This window comes from Homo sapiens, chromosome 8 (assembly GCF_000001405.40).
Source record: "Homo sapiens chromosome 8, GRCh38.p14 Primary Assembly".
In the NCBI taxonomy this organism is placed as follows: Eukaryota; Metazoa; Chordata; class Mammalia; order Primates; family Hominidae; genus Homo; species Homo sapiens.
Window position 1 is genome coordinate 109,571,983 of NC_000008.11, and position 16,769 is coordinate 109,588,751.

General features: G+C 42.0%; 1 protein-coding gene across 20 annotated transcripts in view, besides 1 other annotated feature; it reads right to left on the minus strand.

The window, feature by feature from the left end:
* Positions 1-1,995: 1,995 nt before the first annotated feature.
* The window catches only part of SYBU (syntabulin), a 117,623-nt gene continuing 102,849 nt past the window's right edge, over positions 1,996-16,769 (minus strand). For 18 of the 20 annotated variants that reach the window (NM_001099743.2, NM_001099744.2, NM_001099746.2 and 15 more), the window contains 4 exons: positions 14,078-14,180; positions 7,817-8,020; positions 5,886-6,035; positions 1,996-4,031 (listed from right to left, as the gene is read on the minus strand). In NM_001099743.2, the coding sequence (NP_001093213.1) occupies positions 2,924-4,031; positions 5,886-6,035; positions 7,817-8,020; positions 14,078-14,180 (1,565 nt within the window). In that variant the 3' untranslated portion in view covers positions 1,996-2,923. Of the gene's footprint in view, positions 4,032-5,885; positions 6,036-7,816; positions 8,021-8,896; positions 9,095-14,077; positions 14,181-16,769 lie in introns of those variants that run through there. The other 2 variants (XM_011517154.3, NM_001099756.1) reach the window with 2 other exon arrangements.
* Positions 2,839-3,068: an enhancer, noted in NCBI's record as "active region_27811". NCBI's record gives its function as "activates an Ori minimal core promoter by ATAC-STARR-seq in GM12878 lymphoblastoid cells {active_cell/tissue: GM12878}" and the evidence as "EXISTENCE:reporter gene assay evidence [ECO:0000049][PMID:35858748]".

Consider the following 16,769-nt stretch of genomic DNA (forward strand, 5'->3'; position numbering starts at 1 on the left):
TCCATTCTTCTTGAATTACTCTCTTCTCTTGGTTTTTATACTACTAATCACCTAGTTTTGCTCCTACATTTTGGGCTGTCATTTCTCTGGCTGTTTTGTTGGTTCTTCATCCTCCACCTCTATCTAAATATAGAAGTACCTCAGAAATCCATTTTTGACCTTTTTTCCTTCTCTACACTCTTCCTGGATGACCTCACTTGTTCCCATGGTTTTAATTACCACACAAATGCCAGAAAGGTTCAATGTTATAAGTCTAGTCCTGACAGCTCCCTTGATTTTCACATTTATATATGCAGTTACTCTTGATATCTTCACATAGATGTTTTAATAGACATCTCAGTTTTATTTTTCCCAAACTTGTTTCTCTTGAACTCTTCCCATTCTGAGCAAATATGGCCGCCATTGATCCAATTGCTCAAGCCAAAAACCTGAGTCACCCTTATTTTTTTTCTTTTCCTTACTCCACATTTAATCCATCAGCAAATCACATTAGTTCTATCTTCAAGCTATATCTGTAATTTTTCAACTTAAACTCTGTATCTACTTCCACCTCCAAATTGGCATCATCTCTCATCTGGACATTACAATAGACCCCTAAATGGCGTTCTTGAATAAACTGAAACCTCTACCATGGTTTGTGTGGCCCCATATGAAGCAGCTTCTTGTCTACTCCAACTTTCTCCTTCCTTCTCACTCTGCTCCAGCCACACTGACCTCCAGGATGCTCCTGTCACACTCTGAGTCCTTTCTGTCTGACGGCCTTTGCATTTGTTCCTCTTGCAACAAGATTTTGTCCCATATTTTTGCATGATTGACTCTTTTTCATCCATTCCCACCAATGTTATTTCTTCAGAGATGTGTTCCTTACTTTCACCTCTGCCACACTTGGTCAAAATACCTTATTTCCTTTGAGGCATTTACCACTATCTGAAACCATCTTTTGTTTATTTGATGGCATGTTGTGTCCCTCACAGACACAGAACATAAGCTTCCTGAGGACAGAAACCTTTTCTGTCTCCTTCACTTTTTAAGACCCATCCTGGAAAGTGCCCAGTTAGCATCGGAGTACCTGGTAAATATTTGCTGGATTAATTAATTCATTCAACAGCAATTTTTAGACTTCCCACTATGTGCCAGGTGCTGTACTAAGTTATTGTTAAATTTTAATTTATTTGTAGAAAATTAAAATATTTTAAAAATATTTTGTGGGTACCCAGTAGGTGTCTATATAGGGCTCATGAGCTATTTTGGTACAGGCATGCAATGTGTATGCAATAGTCACATCATGGAAGATGGGGTATCCATCCCCTCAAGCATCCTTTGTGTTGAAACGATCCAATTATATTATTTTAATTATTTTAATATATGCAATTAAATTATTATTGATTATAGGTTCCCTGTTGTGCTATCAAATTCTAAGTCTTATTCTTTCATTTGTTCTAGGTTCTTGACATACAGCTGTGAACAAAACAGAACAAAGATCCCTGCCCTCATGGAGCTAATATCTCAGTGGGAAAGATGGGTAATAACCAAGGCATTGTAAGTAAAAGGGTGGTATATTTAAAGGTGTTAAGTGCTATGGAAGAAGAGTTTCTGGATGAGAACTTGGGGTATTATCCAGCCTCTTTATCCTCCCTTTGTGTGGCAAAGTAGAAAAGGCATTTGCTTTTGCAAACACTTGAAATCGTGGCTTCTGGAGATGAGCTCTGAGATCCTGAACATTTTTCCTCTTTGAGGCTTAGTTCCCTCAAAGATATGTGTAAAATACTAATCTCAAAATTTTGGTGTAAGCACTAGATGAACATAGATCAAATACCTTCTCATCCCTTCCCAGCCACCCACCCTCATCCTATCATTCTGGGGAAGGAAGCTATATGGCACTACCATATTCTCCCTCTCCTGAACACCTAGCATGCTTAGATCAACCCAATGTTCCTGAAAACACTCAAGATGTACTTACTGCATAAACATATGGACAAAATAGTGTATGGGCAATTTAAAAGTAAACAAATCTACTTTTATTCAGAAATGATGCTTTTTAAGTAAGGGTAGGAAATCTTCATTTTCTTTAATAACTAACTCTTTTTCCCTCTTCCTAATTTAATTCAATTTTTACAGACCCCCTATTGATAAAGATGTAAGATCTGCTATTCATTGTCTTTCTTATACATAGAAGTAAAATCACAGAAATAATTATTATTTTATGGGAGGATAAAACATTTATTTAAATGGAAACACTAATCTTTATTTTCATCATGCTGAAGTGTGTGGTTACAATTTCCAATAAAACACTATATATAATAAGCAAAATAAGTTAGTACATTGTAAACTTATGCACAGTTTCATCAATTAACAGTTTAAGAACAAACAAGCCATTTAAGACTTTGGAGCTACATTTAGTAAAAAATTGCAAACACTCAAATCTTATCAACCCCAAGTAAGACAGTAAAGAGCTATTCAAGACTTCTTCAAACCAATTACACAAATACATGTTTATTTTTGGTTACAGTCCCCTGCTATGCACAAGACCATTGGAATGCTGGAACAATTACACATTTTAAAACGGCAAAAAGCAAAGCAAGGAGATAACATGCCAGCCTTAGAGAAGCTGTCTTGAAAGTGCAAACTGCGTTTTCTCTTCCTGAACCACTAGGATAAGAACGGGTACCTCAGACGACACGGCAGGGTCATGAGCATGCTTTCTATACCCCACTGGTGGGACATTTACTGGAACCAGGTCTCCATGCCTTTGAAGATACCTCCGGTTTTAAACAGTGAACAGGCTTCAACTAAATATAGTGCAAATCAAATACCAAGGAGCAAAACGACAGAATAGAGACTGTCACAGATGATTGACTTCCTGTTTCTCTACCTGGCACAACCCACATGGGACACATTGGCACACGGTAACAACAACTTCTATTTAGGTTTTGATACGGAAGGCGGTGCGGCGGAGCGAATGCAGGGCAACCACGCAACAGCCCCTGAGCAAGGCCCCGATGTTATACACAGGATCCGTTCCCCCTCTCTGAGTACTGAATGCCCACAGAACCGTGGGGACCACGGGGGCAGCCACAGCCAGGAGATCCACCAGGAAGCTGCTGCTCCAGTACTGCCTCACGACGCCCCCGCGAGCCAGTGGGATGACACCATCCAACCTCTCTTCCACGCAGGCTGCAAAATCCAGCTCTCTCATGAGGCGGTTTGCATGAACTTCTGCATCCACATTGGCGTAGGGGGTCTCCACGGGAGACAAAAGGATGGCTGAGTTTGGATTTCTTGGAGTTAAATCAACCACTAAGGCAGAGAGGGACTCTGGGAAGCTCTCCATCGAGTCTGGTTCAGACTCATCAGGGGACGCCAAGCTCGAGGGACAGGGGTCCTGGAGCTTCTGCAGCACACTCTGAATGAGCTCTGAGATGGCTGGGCTGTAGGGCACCACGTCGGTCTGAACGGCTCGCTCCACCACCACACTGCCCTCCTCCTGACCCATGACTATGGGCAGCAGCTCCAGGACGTTAGCCCCAGGGGTGGAATGCACAAGCTCCAGGTCACCAGATTCTGTGGTGGTGGCTGTCACTATCTCATCGAACAAATCTGTGCTGTTGGCTATGCTATCTCCTACCAGTAGCTCCCTGTCAGCCCCTTCCCCCGTGACCTGCTCTTCCAGAGATAACCCATCTGCCATTGTGTCAAGAGGGGGGTTGAGGGTTAAGCTCTTCTCTGGGGAATCACATGGAAAGTCTAGGCACAGTTCGTCCCTCAGAGAGCCACTGTGTGCCATCTCCATGCTCTGAAGGAGAGACTCCAGCTTCTTGTTTTGGATGTTTATGTCCACAAAATATTTCTGAATGCCTTTATCTTTATCAGCCAAGCTGCTCCGCATGGTTTCGATGACCTGTTTGAGCTGTTTAATCTCTTTCCTGGCTTCTTTGAGTGCCAACTGGGCCTCTACCCGGTGACACTCCTCCTCAATCCAGTCCTCTCGCATGCGGGCCAGCTGGGACTTAAGCTCCACGATTTCACTTTCCCTAGAGTGCCAAGACAAGCATGGTTAATTAAAAAAAAAAAAAAAAAAAAAAAAAAAACTTTCAACTGGGCAACAGGCAGTTCAGGCAGTTCTGGCACAGAGCCAAGAGCTCATACTCTTCCACTTGAAATACAGATGTGAAATCAGTTTTCAATGCAGGGAACTCAAGAGAACACAGAAAAACTTGAGAAAACACTCCAGCCTAAACTGAAAGAAGCAGTACATTTTCTCTTTGGCGGAGATTAGCTGTGAACTTTCTCTTTACTTGTAAAATGGCTAAAGTAATAATAGTAATCAGAATCAGAATCAAAATAGCTACCACAATTTTTTTTGAGTACTCATTATGGGTCGGATATTGCACTGTGTTACAAGTCTTATCTTCTACTCAATCCTTAATATTTGAAACTTTATTATTAGAACATCTTAGCATCTGTTAGCCTGTTTTTATCTCCATATCCTACCCTTTCCAAATGTCTATAGTTTGTGGAAGGCCAGTTCACTTTTAATTACCTAAGACAGAAGGTAGACTGATAAGTTTTAGCCTTGCTAAATTGTTCATATGGTATTCCAATGATAAACATTTTTGAAATAATAAAATGCTACACGTGGCAGGGACTTTACATGATGACAAGCTGCTTATTCTGTCTCCTCTCAGGTAGGATAATATTGAATTCATCCTACACTAAGGAGAATCTATCCTATTTTTCAGATCCTTCACAGGACAACCCTATTTCAAGATCTTTGTATATAAATTCTTTCTTATATATAATTTTTTCATATTCAGTCCTTACATTCTCAGTGGATATGAAGATAGGGTAGTCAGGATCCTCATATATATGAAGAGACATCAATATTGCTCATTTAAGTTTAGGCTAGAATATTTTCCCAAGTTTTGCTGCATTCCCATTCCTTCCTCGAGTGCTCCAATCCTCCCATGGACTCTGCAAATCACAGACCAAACACTTCCAGACATAAGGTCTGACTCACCCCAGAGGGGAGTTTGGGTCTCAAGTCTATTTCAGACAGATGATGAGCCAGATTAATTCGGAAGATGAAAAATTTCCCTTCCTCGCAGTCTGCACCCTTACCTGCCCACAGTTTTAGCAACCAAGGTATTGAGTTTTCTTTATATCTTTGTGGCAGCAGAAGAGGAGGTTTGGGCTGATCAGGTAGCCCAGACTCTTAGAGAATGCACATGCCACCCTCACCCTGAGCTCACAGCTACCCTGGTCAGAGCTTTCCTGGTCTGTTCCAAAATGTTCCAGGGGAAAATGATCAAGCAGAAAAACTGGCCTGCTGCCCAGATGTCAAAAGTCTTCTCCCTCAGATAAGATCTCTTAAGCATGGGCTTTTTTTTTTTTTCAGCCTTAACACTTGGCCAAGAACAATGAGCCCCTTCCTTCGGCACAGAAATAGCATGCAGGAATCACAATGCACACAGATATCCATTCATGCACGGATATAAACACGGCTTAATTGGTCCACGGTTGTGACCCATTCTGCTGGAAGTATGGGATTGTTCCCGCACGTGTTTTTGCCATTTAAAAATAGTCATGCACACACCTGATTATTTCACATCAAAGCTGTATACACTGCAAAACAACAACAACAAAAAACGACAACAACAACGAAAAACAAAGGTTCCCCTCTAACCTACGGGCCTCCCTGAACTCCTGAAACAGCCATATCACACAGAGTTATGAAATGACTCTTTTCAGAGGCTGACTTTAAAAATTTGACCAAAATTGAATACAATCATTTTTTCTTTTCTATCTTTCTATAGTTTGGGTTCATATTTCATTTTATGGAGAAAGAAGTTGTCCTACACCCCACCGTTCAAGGAAGGCAGATTCACCTTTCATGGAGTCGGCGCTCAGATTCCTTCAGCTTGGTTTTGAGGTGTCTCACTGTCACCTCTTTCTGCTGCAGTGGAGTCAAATACTGCTCTGGGTTTGGGGGTCTGACACCATGATTTTCACCGCAAGACATGTACCTTCCAGAACGCCTGAAACAATCCAAGTAATGAAATGTTACTTTTTGCCGTTTCCTTTTCTATAAAAAGAAGAGTAACACAGAGTGTTATCAACTGAATGTCTGTGTCCCTCCAGAATTCATATGTTGAACTTCTTACCCCAATATGACGGTATTAGGTGGTGACGACTTTGGGAATTAGCCCATAAGGGTGAAGCCTTCATAAATGGGATTAATGCTCTTATAAAAGGAACCCCAGAGAGCTTTCTAGCTTTCTTTTTCCACCCTGTGAGGATACATTAAGAGGTCAGCAGTCTGCAGCCCAGAAGACAGCCCTTCCCAGAACCAGACCTTGCTGGCACCCTGATCTCAGACCTAAACCTACAGTATGTAGCCCATGGTTCTCGAAAGATTTGGACCAACATCTAGAGTACTTTGTTATAGCCACCCACATTGACCCAGACACAGCTAACAGCTTGAGAAGGAATGGTAGCTGTGTGCTGGGGTCTTAAACCTCAATAATGGGTGACCTCACTTCAGAAGGTGAGCTGTAATAGAATTGCCGATCTTAGGACTGTTAATTACTTTGAAGATTGAAGGGGGTATTGGTGTATTTATGGAGAGAATAGGGACCGTGGAGGAGGAGAATTCTCTATGGCTTAGGAATGTTCTCATACAAAATAATGCACCATTGTCCAGGTGCCTGAGCTGTCAGTTCAGAGTAACATGCAGCACAGTGGGTGAGGGTCAGGGGATGGGCCCGGGCAGAAGAGAAGGAAGCCAGCCAGAGGACCTAACTTTCTGCACAGTGTGCCACTGCCTAAAGATCCTGATGGCTATTTGCTGAATGCAAGTTGTTCTAAAATCAATCCCTGCTGTGAGTATGCCAGTTTGGAGGAAATGGAAAGATCCTTCTTCTGAAGGGAAGAAGTTTCTTCCTCTACTTAACTCTCCCCAGTGTGTTTTGTAAGACAGGCTCAATGTTTTACAAAACAGCCCTTGCTGGAATCTTGGCCCCTCTCAGGCCTGGCTGGGAGCTGGGAATCCCTGCTGTAAGAGAGCTGACTGACGAGAATAGGGATGCCCAGCAGGAAGAAGGCCGAAGGAGGAGGGCAGCCAGCTCCTTCCCTGACTCTGGACCCAGTCCCAGCCACTATGCTGCCAGCTCCCTGAGCACCTGCCTGCCTCCAAGATGACCTGTGTCCATGCCCACCATCCAGTCCTCCTGTCGTGGCCTCTTTGGAAATGCAGTTCCTTCTTTCTGCTCCACACTCCCTACAATCTCATATGAATTAACTTGTTGCTTGCTCTTCAGACCTCAATTCCATTTCACTTTCTCAGGGAGGCCACCCCTGATCGCTCCAGACTGCGTTGGACACCCTCCCCACCTTTCACACACCCCTGTAGCAACAGGTGCCTACAGAATCATCTTAAGTTGTTTTTGTTTGTTTGTTTGTTTGAGATGGAGTCTTGCTCTGTTGCCCAGGCTGGAGTTCAGTGGCGTGATCTCGGTTCACTGGAACCTCTGCCTCCCAGGTTCAAGCAATTCTCCTGCCTCAGCCTCCTGCTGCCTCTGTGGCATTTTCTCTCCCTATTCAGGAACTGCTTAGATTGCTGTGCCTTGTTAGAAATTGTGGCTTGCGCTCTTTCTGCAGCAGCCCTTGAGGAATGAGCCGAATGTGGGAAAGAAAAATGCAGTGTCTTGTAGAATCAGGCAAGGGATCAAGAGTTGTATAACTTTTTTTTTTCTTTTTTAAAGAAAAGCTTACCAAGTAGGACAAACTAAGATGCATGAATTAGGTGAGCAGGACTCACCTCATGATGGGGCTACAGTCGCTTCCTTTGTAGGAGCCTGAGTTGCTACTGCTTGGGGAAGAAGGTGCATAACTGGGATGGATATTGACAGGGCTCAGCTGATTCCTGCACAGCATGGACAGAAGGTCCTTTTCCCGCGGGGATGATGGGCTGCTGCCAGGCTTGTGTGACGAAGCTCCATTACTCCGCCCATGAGGACCTCGACTGGGAGAAAAGAATGAAAAATGTTAAAATTCTTGGGGCTACAGATGCCCAAGGGCTAATGTCTTACTCCTTAAATCTAAGGAAATCCAATTTATAGAGTTGAAAGGCGCAATACAATTATTCGTGTAGACTGTCCTTAGGAGCGGCCTTCTTCCCACCTGCCTGGTATTTTCTCTCCTTGTGACATCAGCACAAGCAACCTCTCCCTCTGTTGTTCTTTCAAATAGTTTCTGACCATAAAGCTTTTTTTGGATAACACCCAATAGCCTGCTAAGAACATACACAATGTAGAATATTGATTTAGCTCAGGTTTATTTTGGAGGCTGTTTATTTTGGAGGCTGTTTTCAAGATATGGTTTTTGTTCTAGTCCACCTGTTTCAGTTTAGAAATATTTGCATTTGGTTCATGTCAGGGTAAGAAAATTAATGCGGTTCATTTGGAGGATGGGGGAAGGTGGTACCCCATACAGGAGGAGGAGAAAACAGGGCAAGATAAACAGAGCACACATAAATGCATCATTGGTAATTTTGATTACTTAAAATTTTTGTTTCATTTTCTTCTAGCCCCAGTGACTTAAGACAACCTTTGTCATTTAACTGCTGAAATACTGTAACAGCCCCATCTTGGTTCTCCTGCCTCTTGCCTTGCTCCCTCCAGTAGAAGGTTGGCTTGTGGCTGGAGTGGCCTTTCAAAATGGAATCTGATTCACTATCCTCCTCAAAGCCTTGCGATGGTCCCCCACTGCCTCCAGAACAAAGGCCAGCCTCCTTAAGATGGCTCACAAGGTCCAATCCCACTACTCCATCCAACCCCATCCTCCACCACTCCTCACTCCTCCCTCCTCCCTCTGTACTACAGCATTCCAAATCACTTACAGTTTCCTGAAGGATCCATGCTTGACCATCCTTAGGTTTTTGAACTCATAATCTCCTCTAATTAGAATGTTCACCTGCTCCCTTCTCTAAGCCCCTGGATACCAGGATACTTCCTACTTTGAGACTGATGGGAACGTACTCTAAAGAGCCTTCTCTATATTCTTCCTTCCCTAGGCCAGTGTAGGCACACTCCTTAATGCTCCCTAAAACTCTGTGCAAACTTCTACCATTGGACTTATCACATGGCGTCACAACTGCATACTTATTTGTCCTTCCTGCTAGGCTAGGGCAACCTTGAGGGCAGAAACAGCTTGTTCTTTCTATCCTCCTACTTTTGATACATGGTAAGTGTTCCCTAAAGGACTGCTGAATAAATAAACCAGGTGTGAGTCATTGGCACTGCCACTTAGTAGGAACTTAGGCAAGTGAGCCACTTAACATGGGGATCAAAACACACACACATGCACACACACACCCACCCCTTTCCTACCTTCCTCACAGAATTGATGTGAAAATCAAATCAAAGAATGCATGTGAGTACATTCCACAAGCTATTAAGGGTAACTCAACTGTAGAGTATTATTAGAGGATAAACTTGTTCAAACTTCACCATTAATCCTGACAGAGATTTGACACCCAGTAGTGTAAGGAAGCATCTTGAGAATGTTGAAATTACTTAAACAGGATAAAGTTCTATGTCAGGAATATTACTTGATGGCAAAAAAAGAGAAAACAAGATAGCTTTCATATAGTAGTACTGCTTTCTGACAAACCTTTCTTTGCAATTTTAATTACAGCTGTATCCAACTGACATCTTAATGAGAAATGTGTGTAAATGTGAATGCAAGTGTGCATGTGGGTACACTTGGCTTCAAAACCATGATCACTTATTTACAATCAAATATAATTTCAACTGGCTGTCAACCTTGCAAATCAGACATAAATAAAACGTAACCAAGTTCTAAAGTTAAAGTTATTTCCTTTTGAAATCATTCAAATGAACGCCGCTCTTCTCTTCGTGAGAAGAGGACACTTTATACGGAACAGATGGGCTGATGGCTTTGTGACAAAACCAACTTCAGCAGCCCATGGTAGAAAGAACTTCATGAGTAGCTGAAAGGAACATGTACCCTGGTGTGCATTTTCTTTTCCATGCTTCACTTCTAAGTCTGGCATCAACCAGACTATTTCTTAATCTGATTATGAGAAATATGGAAGATTAGCTATTACACCTTAGGCAGGAATGTAAAGAGCTATCCCATATTTTGACCTGGGGAATTTTATTACGAGTTAACTTCCACTGAGGACCTTCTGTGACCCTGGCGCTGTTTCAGGTGCTTTCTGAATATTGATCAGGAAATAAATTATCAGACAGTTTGTAAGAGCTAACTTTTTAAAAAGAAGCAACATGCTTAAAAATATCAGTTCTCTTCATTTAGTAGTTCAAATGCTAACATGTATAGGTGCAAACTCATTATAGGCATTGATAGGAAACATTTTCAAAGGAGACACTGAGATTCCATGTTTGTCATGGCCATGAACTGTGAAACCCAATGCTGTCCTCTTCAGCCCATCCCAGATCCTTCAGTCTGGTGGACAAGAAAAACGCAGTCCACAAAGAGGAAAGAAAATTCTGCTGACCCTGAACCCTTCTACAAACCTGAATACGTAACTAGAAGGTCATAGACAGAGGAGTGAAGATGACACCTCATGAGTGACTCAGGTGAATTTCGATTCCCTGACCATGGCTCTGGACTTCAGGTAATATCATCATCATCGTCATCATCATCATCACCATCATCACCATGATCTAGGGTTGAACTGTGTCACCCCCTGCAAATTGATATGTTGAAGCCCTAACTCCCAGTACCACAGAATAATGGGGCTTTAAAAAGTGATTAAGTTAAAATGAGGCAGTTAGGGTGGGCCCTAATCCAGTTTAACTGGTGTCCTTATACAAAGAAGGAATTTGAGCAGACATAAACAGAAGGAAGATGCTGTAGAGACACAGGGAGAAGATGGCCACTACAAGCCAAGGAGAGGAGCCTCAGAAGAAGCCAACCCTGCAGACATCTTGGTATCAGACTTCCCTTTTCCAGAACTGTGAGTAAATACATTTCTGTTGTTTAGGCCATCCAGTCTATGGTACTGGGTTATGCAGCCCTAGCAGACTAATATAATCACTACCACCATGATTACCATCATAACCACCACCAGCAGCAGCAGCAGCAACAGCAACAGTACCATGTCTCCTAGTACTACTTTCACCCCTACTGACAAAAACCACCTTTTACCAACGCTTTCACTAAGTTCTGGGCATCATGTCAAGCACTCACACATATCATCTCATTTAACTCAGTGAGGTAAGATGCTATTATTATCCCATATCCCAAAACAGGAGACTGAGGCTTGGGGTCATACACCTGATAAATAATGGAGGCTAACCTCAATCCCAGGTCTGTCTGACTCCAAATCCCAAGGTTTTTCTTTTTCTGTCTGATTTTTATCTTCCAAACAGATTCATGTTTTAGTTTAAGAAAGATAATTCCTTAGAAATATCAGCAGAGTTGCCCTTCTATGAGACAAGATACTCTGTAAGCCTTTAAAGTTTTTGTTTTAAAAATAACTCGTCAAAAATATTCTCACCAGCTCCACCTGTTCCTCACATGTCCCACTGATTGACCAATCTTCCTGTTAGCCTTCCTTCAGGGAGCTAATTCTCCACAGAGAAAATTCATTCACTACATGGGGAAGCAGCCAATTGAAAGGATCACAAACTACTACAGAGTTTGGCAGAGATACCCAGCTACTCTAGAGGAGCTGCCCCCCCATGCGTGGCCCTCCAGAACACAAAATTTATGTGACATTGCTGAGATAGTCCATGACCAAAATCTACTGATGGTACTCTGTGCCTGGGTGAGATTCTTTTATTTATTTATTTACTTATTTGAAACAGTCTTGTTCTGTTGCCCAGGACTGGAGTGCAGTGGTGCAATCTTGACTCACTGCAACCTCCGCCTCTCAGGTTCAAGCAATTCTCCTGCCTCAACTTTACGAGTAGCTGGGATAACAGGCACCCACCTACATGCCCGGCTAATTTTTTTTTTTTTTGTATTTTTAGTAGACACGGGGTTTCACCATATTAGCCAGGCTGGTCTTGAACTCCTGAACTCAGTTGATCCATCCGCCTTGGCCTCCTAAAAGTGCTGGGATTATAGGCATGAGCCACTGTGCATGGCTGAGATTTTTAAAAACTGAGGATAATGGATAGAACACTGCCATTTTCAATTTTCCATCTATTAATTTTTGTTAAACCTTTGAAGTCTATTATTGCTTGGCTATAACAGATACTAACAGAAGCATTCATCTGATTTGCATATAATTATATTTGGCTATTTTATGTTTAATATGTCAAATTTTGACCATGAATTCTAGACTAGAATATTTTCTCTTAGTCACTCTGTATTATTGACACAACCTTGGAATTTAACCACAAACACTGATTCCTTTGAAATATTTAAGTTGGCTTCATCTACAGGCCTTCCTTTTTTATCTTTTTGCCTTTCTATATTGTTTGATACTTTGTTCCATGTGTATGTCATAATTTCTTGAGTGGGTTATATAAATGGTTTATTCTTAGAGCAAGCCACATCTGATTTACACAGAATGTTTACATTCATGTCCTATAATCCCAGAGGCACTTTATTGCCAAAATGGTGGTGGTGGGTGGGGGCTGGGGATAGAGCAATTGTGCTTTATTACTGCGGACTTCACTCTTTTGTTACAGGTTTGTCTGGCTTCAGCTGTATTTTTAATGATAAAACTGTGCCCTGGGGGTCTCAGGTCGCCTTATAAACATCTGCTAAATCTTCAGCTCACCCAAGAGAAATAGAAAATATTTGCTTGCTGAGTCCTGGAAAGGCAGGCTTTTGGAAACTAAATAGATTTTCTCCAGGAAGAGACCTTAAAAAGTCACACAGTACAACTGTCTTTTGGATACCGTGGCCCAGGGGAATCAAGTGACGTGACAAAGTCAGAAGCCAGGTCCCCTCACGTTCTGTGGCTCCCTCCATAGCTTTCTTTAAGTCTCTGCTCAGAGCTCAGTTCACCACTGAGGTATCCTAGGACCCACCAAGCTAAAATATACCACAAACCACATTACTCTCTATCTCCTTCCCCTGAGTGTTTTTAAAAATAATTATATTATTTTTCAATTTATTGTCCTTCTTGTCCTACTACAATGAATATAATTTTGTGGAGTTTTGTTTCCTCATAGTAGATGCTCAATAAATACTTGTTAAATGAATAAACAAAGCCACTGGTGGCAAGCACAGAATCCTGGGGCTTACAGTCCCTCCCACTGAATGTGCATAGTGGCTCCCATGTCTCATAGTCCTCTCCACCAATTCAAATAACATCAATGGAGAGAATTGGTTGATGCTTGCTATGCTCCATGCTCTGACTCAGCATTTTACTTTTATTAACTTGTTTAATCCTAACAATAAACCCTCTGAGGTGGCTGGGTCTATTTCACAGATAAGGTAAACAAGGCATGGAGTGGTTAAACAACTTGCTCAGAGCCACACAGCCTGGAGTTGGTGGTGCTGGCATTTGAGCCAAGGCAGCCTGGTTTCAGAGCCCACACACCCAGCTGGTGTGCTCTATGGGGTGGCCACCATGCCTATGAACGTTACTACACTTTCTTCACTCCTTCCCCAGGTAAATGCTGGGAGTGGTCAGGGAGTAGCTGCTTCCTTCACAGAGGTTAAAAATGGAAGTCCAGCTAGAAGAAAAAAAGGGTGAAGTCAGAGGCTTCACAGCTAAGAGACTCATAGCTTCACAGAGGGGAGGTAGGAGGGAAGTGGGAGACCACTAGCTTCCTATGCAGATGAGTACACAGGTGAGTAAGGGAAAGAGAGAAGGGACAGGAGGAGTGGGCATAGAGTCAAGGGTTGGATGGGAGACAGCCATGGATGTACAAACACAGGTGAGCCATGTGACCACAGTTGGCAAGACAGGAAAAACTACCAATTTAAAATCACTGTAAAAAAACAAAACAAAAAGCCTCACTGAATAATAAAATATGAACGGACAGTAATCCGGGTGGTTCTACAGATGCACAGGTGCAGGTGAGTCACCTGTGTAAAGCGTCTTAATTACAGAGCAGGAGATGGTGCCTACTTGCGTGAAGAAGAAGACCGCTTGCTTCCCGCAGTCGACATATGGACCTCAGGAGCGGAAATGCTGCCTGTGCTGCTCGAGGAGCTAAAATCAGCTTCACTACCTGAAAAACAACAGGGGAGAGAGAAGCGTGAGGGAAAGGAAACTAGAGAACACATTGGCCAGTTCCCTGCCTTCCAGGTCCCTGCTCCCTGCGTTTGCACACTATTGGCAAGTGCCAAGATTCCAGGGCTTCCAGGCTCACAGCATTTTCCTCAAAGCAGTCAAGAGAAGGCCCAGTACAAGAACATCATTTCATAAACACAGCTAAGATGCACAGTAAGGCTGGTTTCATAAAGAGGCCAGTCTTCCTGCAGACACTGTCAACAGTGACCCAAGTGCATCAAGAAATGCACTGTTCTCCCGTATGTGAGGCTCTCACTCCACAACAACGGGCTCACCCTATTTCAAGCAAAAGAAAAATAAAATACTTATCAGTCCAAGAGTAGTTTTTCCAAGAGAGTTTATCTTTGGGCTTCTGTAGTCAGCTACTCATACTTCAATTTGGCAAGTTAGGTTTGGAGACAGTTAACCAATGAGAGGCAGTCAGGAAAGAGCAAAGCCTGGGCTCCCAGACTGCTGCACTGGCACTATCTGAGGTGACTTTCTCTGACTGCAGTTTTGGTTTTTCTTTAAAGAATAGATCCTTAACAGAAAAGCAGAAATTTAACAGTGATAGAACCTGTAAATTACACTGAAATTTGGAATTTTAGCTTCAGGGTGGGATTACAGGTAGGGATGTTCATTAGTTTGCAAAGATCACATGATACTTTGAGTACAGACAACAGGTGGGTGTGTAATTATAATATAAATATGCTGTGCAGTAAAATAATTTATATAAATTCATTCTAACAAAAATATGTAGTTCTGAAAGAGTAATAATGGAAACATTCCCATACACTGCCTGGGGAAGTAAGGGGAGGTGGAAGAGGCAAGCTAGACAATGAGAAGAAGAAAAAGAATTTTTTAAAAACGTGAAGTACCATGTGCTTCTGAAAAATAAGTCTAGGTATACAGTTTAATTTGACCTTGTTGCTCAACTCCTACCACATAATTTGTGCCTTTTCTGGTCTAGAACCCAGAGCCAGCTCACATTTCTGAGCTAAAGAAAATATGAATAGCCTAATCCTTGATTTTCTAACAAGCAGTGAACAATAATTATCATAACAATGGCTATTTATTGAGTGTTTACTAGGTCCCAGGCCCTGTTCACGATACTTTCTATGCTATATATTATTTAATATTGACATCTTTGTAAAATAGACATTAATCTCACTATTTTACTATTGAGAAAACTGAAGCTGTTTGTCTGAAGCTTATAGGTGATAAATCCTGTCCAGGACCAAATCTTCATGCTACTTCTCCCATACTATGCTTTGCCCTCAGAAAGGCAGTAGGAAGAAGCAGGGGAACAGGAGAAGTTCTTAAAGAAACTATACATTACCATCTCCCTAAAAGGTCAACATGAACCATAGGTACAAGATGTGGCCAGACTCTGGCCTACTAGGGAACAGATTTCTCTTTCTGATGGCCTCTGTTAGTTTTGCTAGAGAGGAAGGTAGGTAATCACAAGGCAGAGAGAAGAAAAAATCCTTTCCCTGGTTTCCAGGAGCTCTCAGGAACTCCAGCCTCTAGCAAGTCCAGGTCTCTAGGAAAGAGACCAAGAATGACCCATTAGCCAAATGACAGCAGTGACTCCTGGCTCCCAGTAGAATTCTGGGAAGATTAGCAAGGTAGTTTATCAGAACTGAGACCAGCTATTCCTTCTGGATTGCAGAGACTTTGTCTAATGATGTAATGAGCTCCTAGAAGCTCCCCAAACTTAATCAGTTGACTCTAAGGAATACACTGGTTAAACTGTAGTAGTTTACAATCTGAAGGATTCATGATTGGTAATGCAGTCCAGCAGCATGAGATTCCTGACGGCCTAACTCAACCAGCTTTGTTTGCTAGTAAATTATCAGGTTGGTTATTAAATGATAAAGGTAGGTGATTTTCAAAAATAGATCCTTCAGTTACAGCCATCAGGTTTAAGATACTATTTTCTAATGTGAAATTATTACTCTGAAAAACACTCAGCTTTCATTCCTTTCACAAAAGCCCATCGATTATAATTGAACTGCTTGCCTAAAAGCAGAAATTCTAGAACAGGAACAGATAATTGCGGAAAATCCATTGTTACCCCACGGTGCTTCTGATCTGTGGTAATTATGTTCTCTGAACTGAAAGGACAACTTTGTTCTATATTTTATTGCTACTGGAACTCAATATACTGACTTTTATGTATTTGCAGGGCCTAAGGTCACTTTGTTTCAGCACTTTCCTCTCTTACCTTCTGTACATCTGAAAGAGATTAGAAGGCACATTCGGGTCCCTGCAGCTGCATTCAGGCCTATTTGAATAGTACGATAGTGAAAAATGTATATACTACTTCACAACTATTTCAGTTCATGAATTTAAAGAACGTAACCTGGTTAATGCAGTGTAAAAATCAGTGAACTCTTTTTAAGGGATACACAGGAAAGCTAAATGTAATACATCATCTGATATACTTTCTTCATGTACTAAGCAAAATAACTAAGAGAAAAGCTGGAGACCTAATCACACCCCCCGCCCCCGCCGCCATTTATCTATTAGTTGGCAACAAAGATAC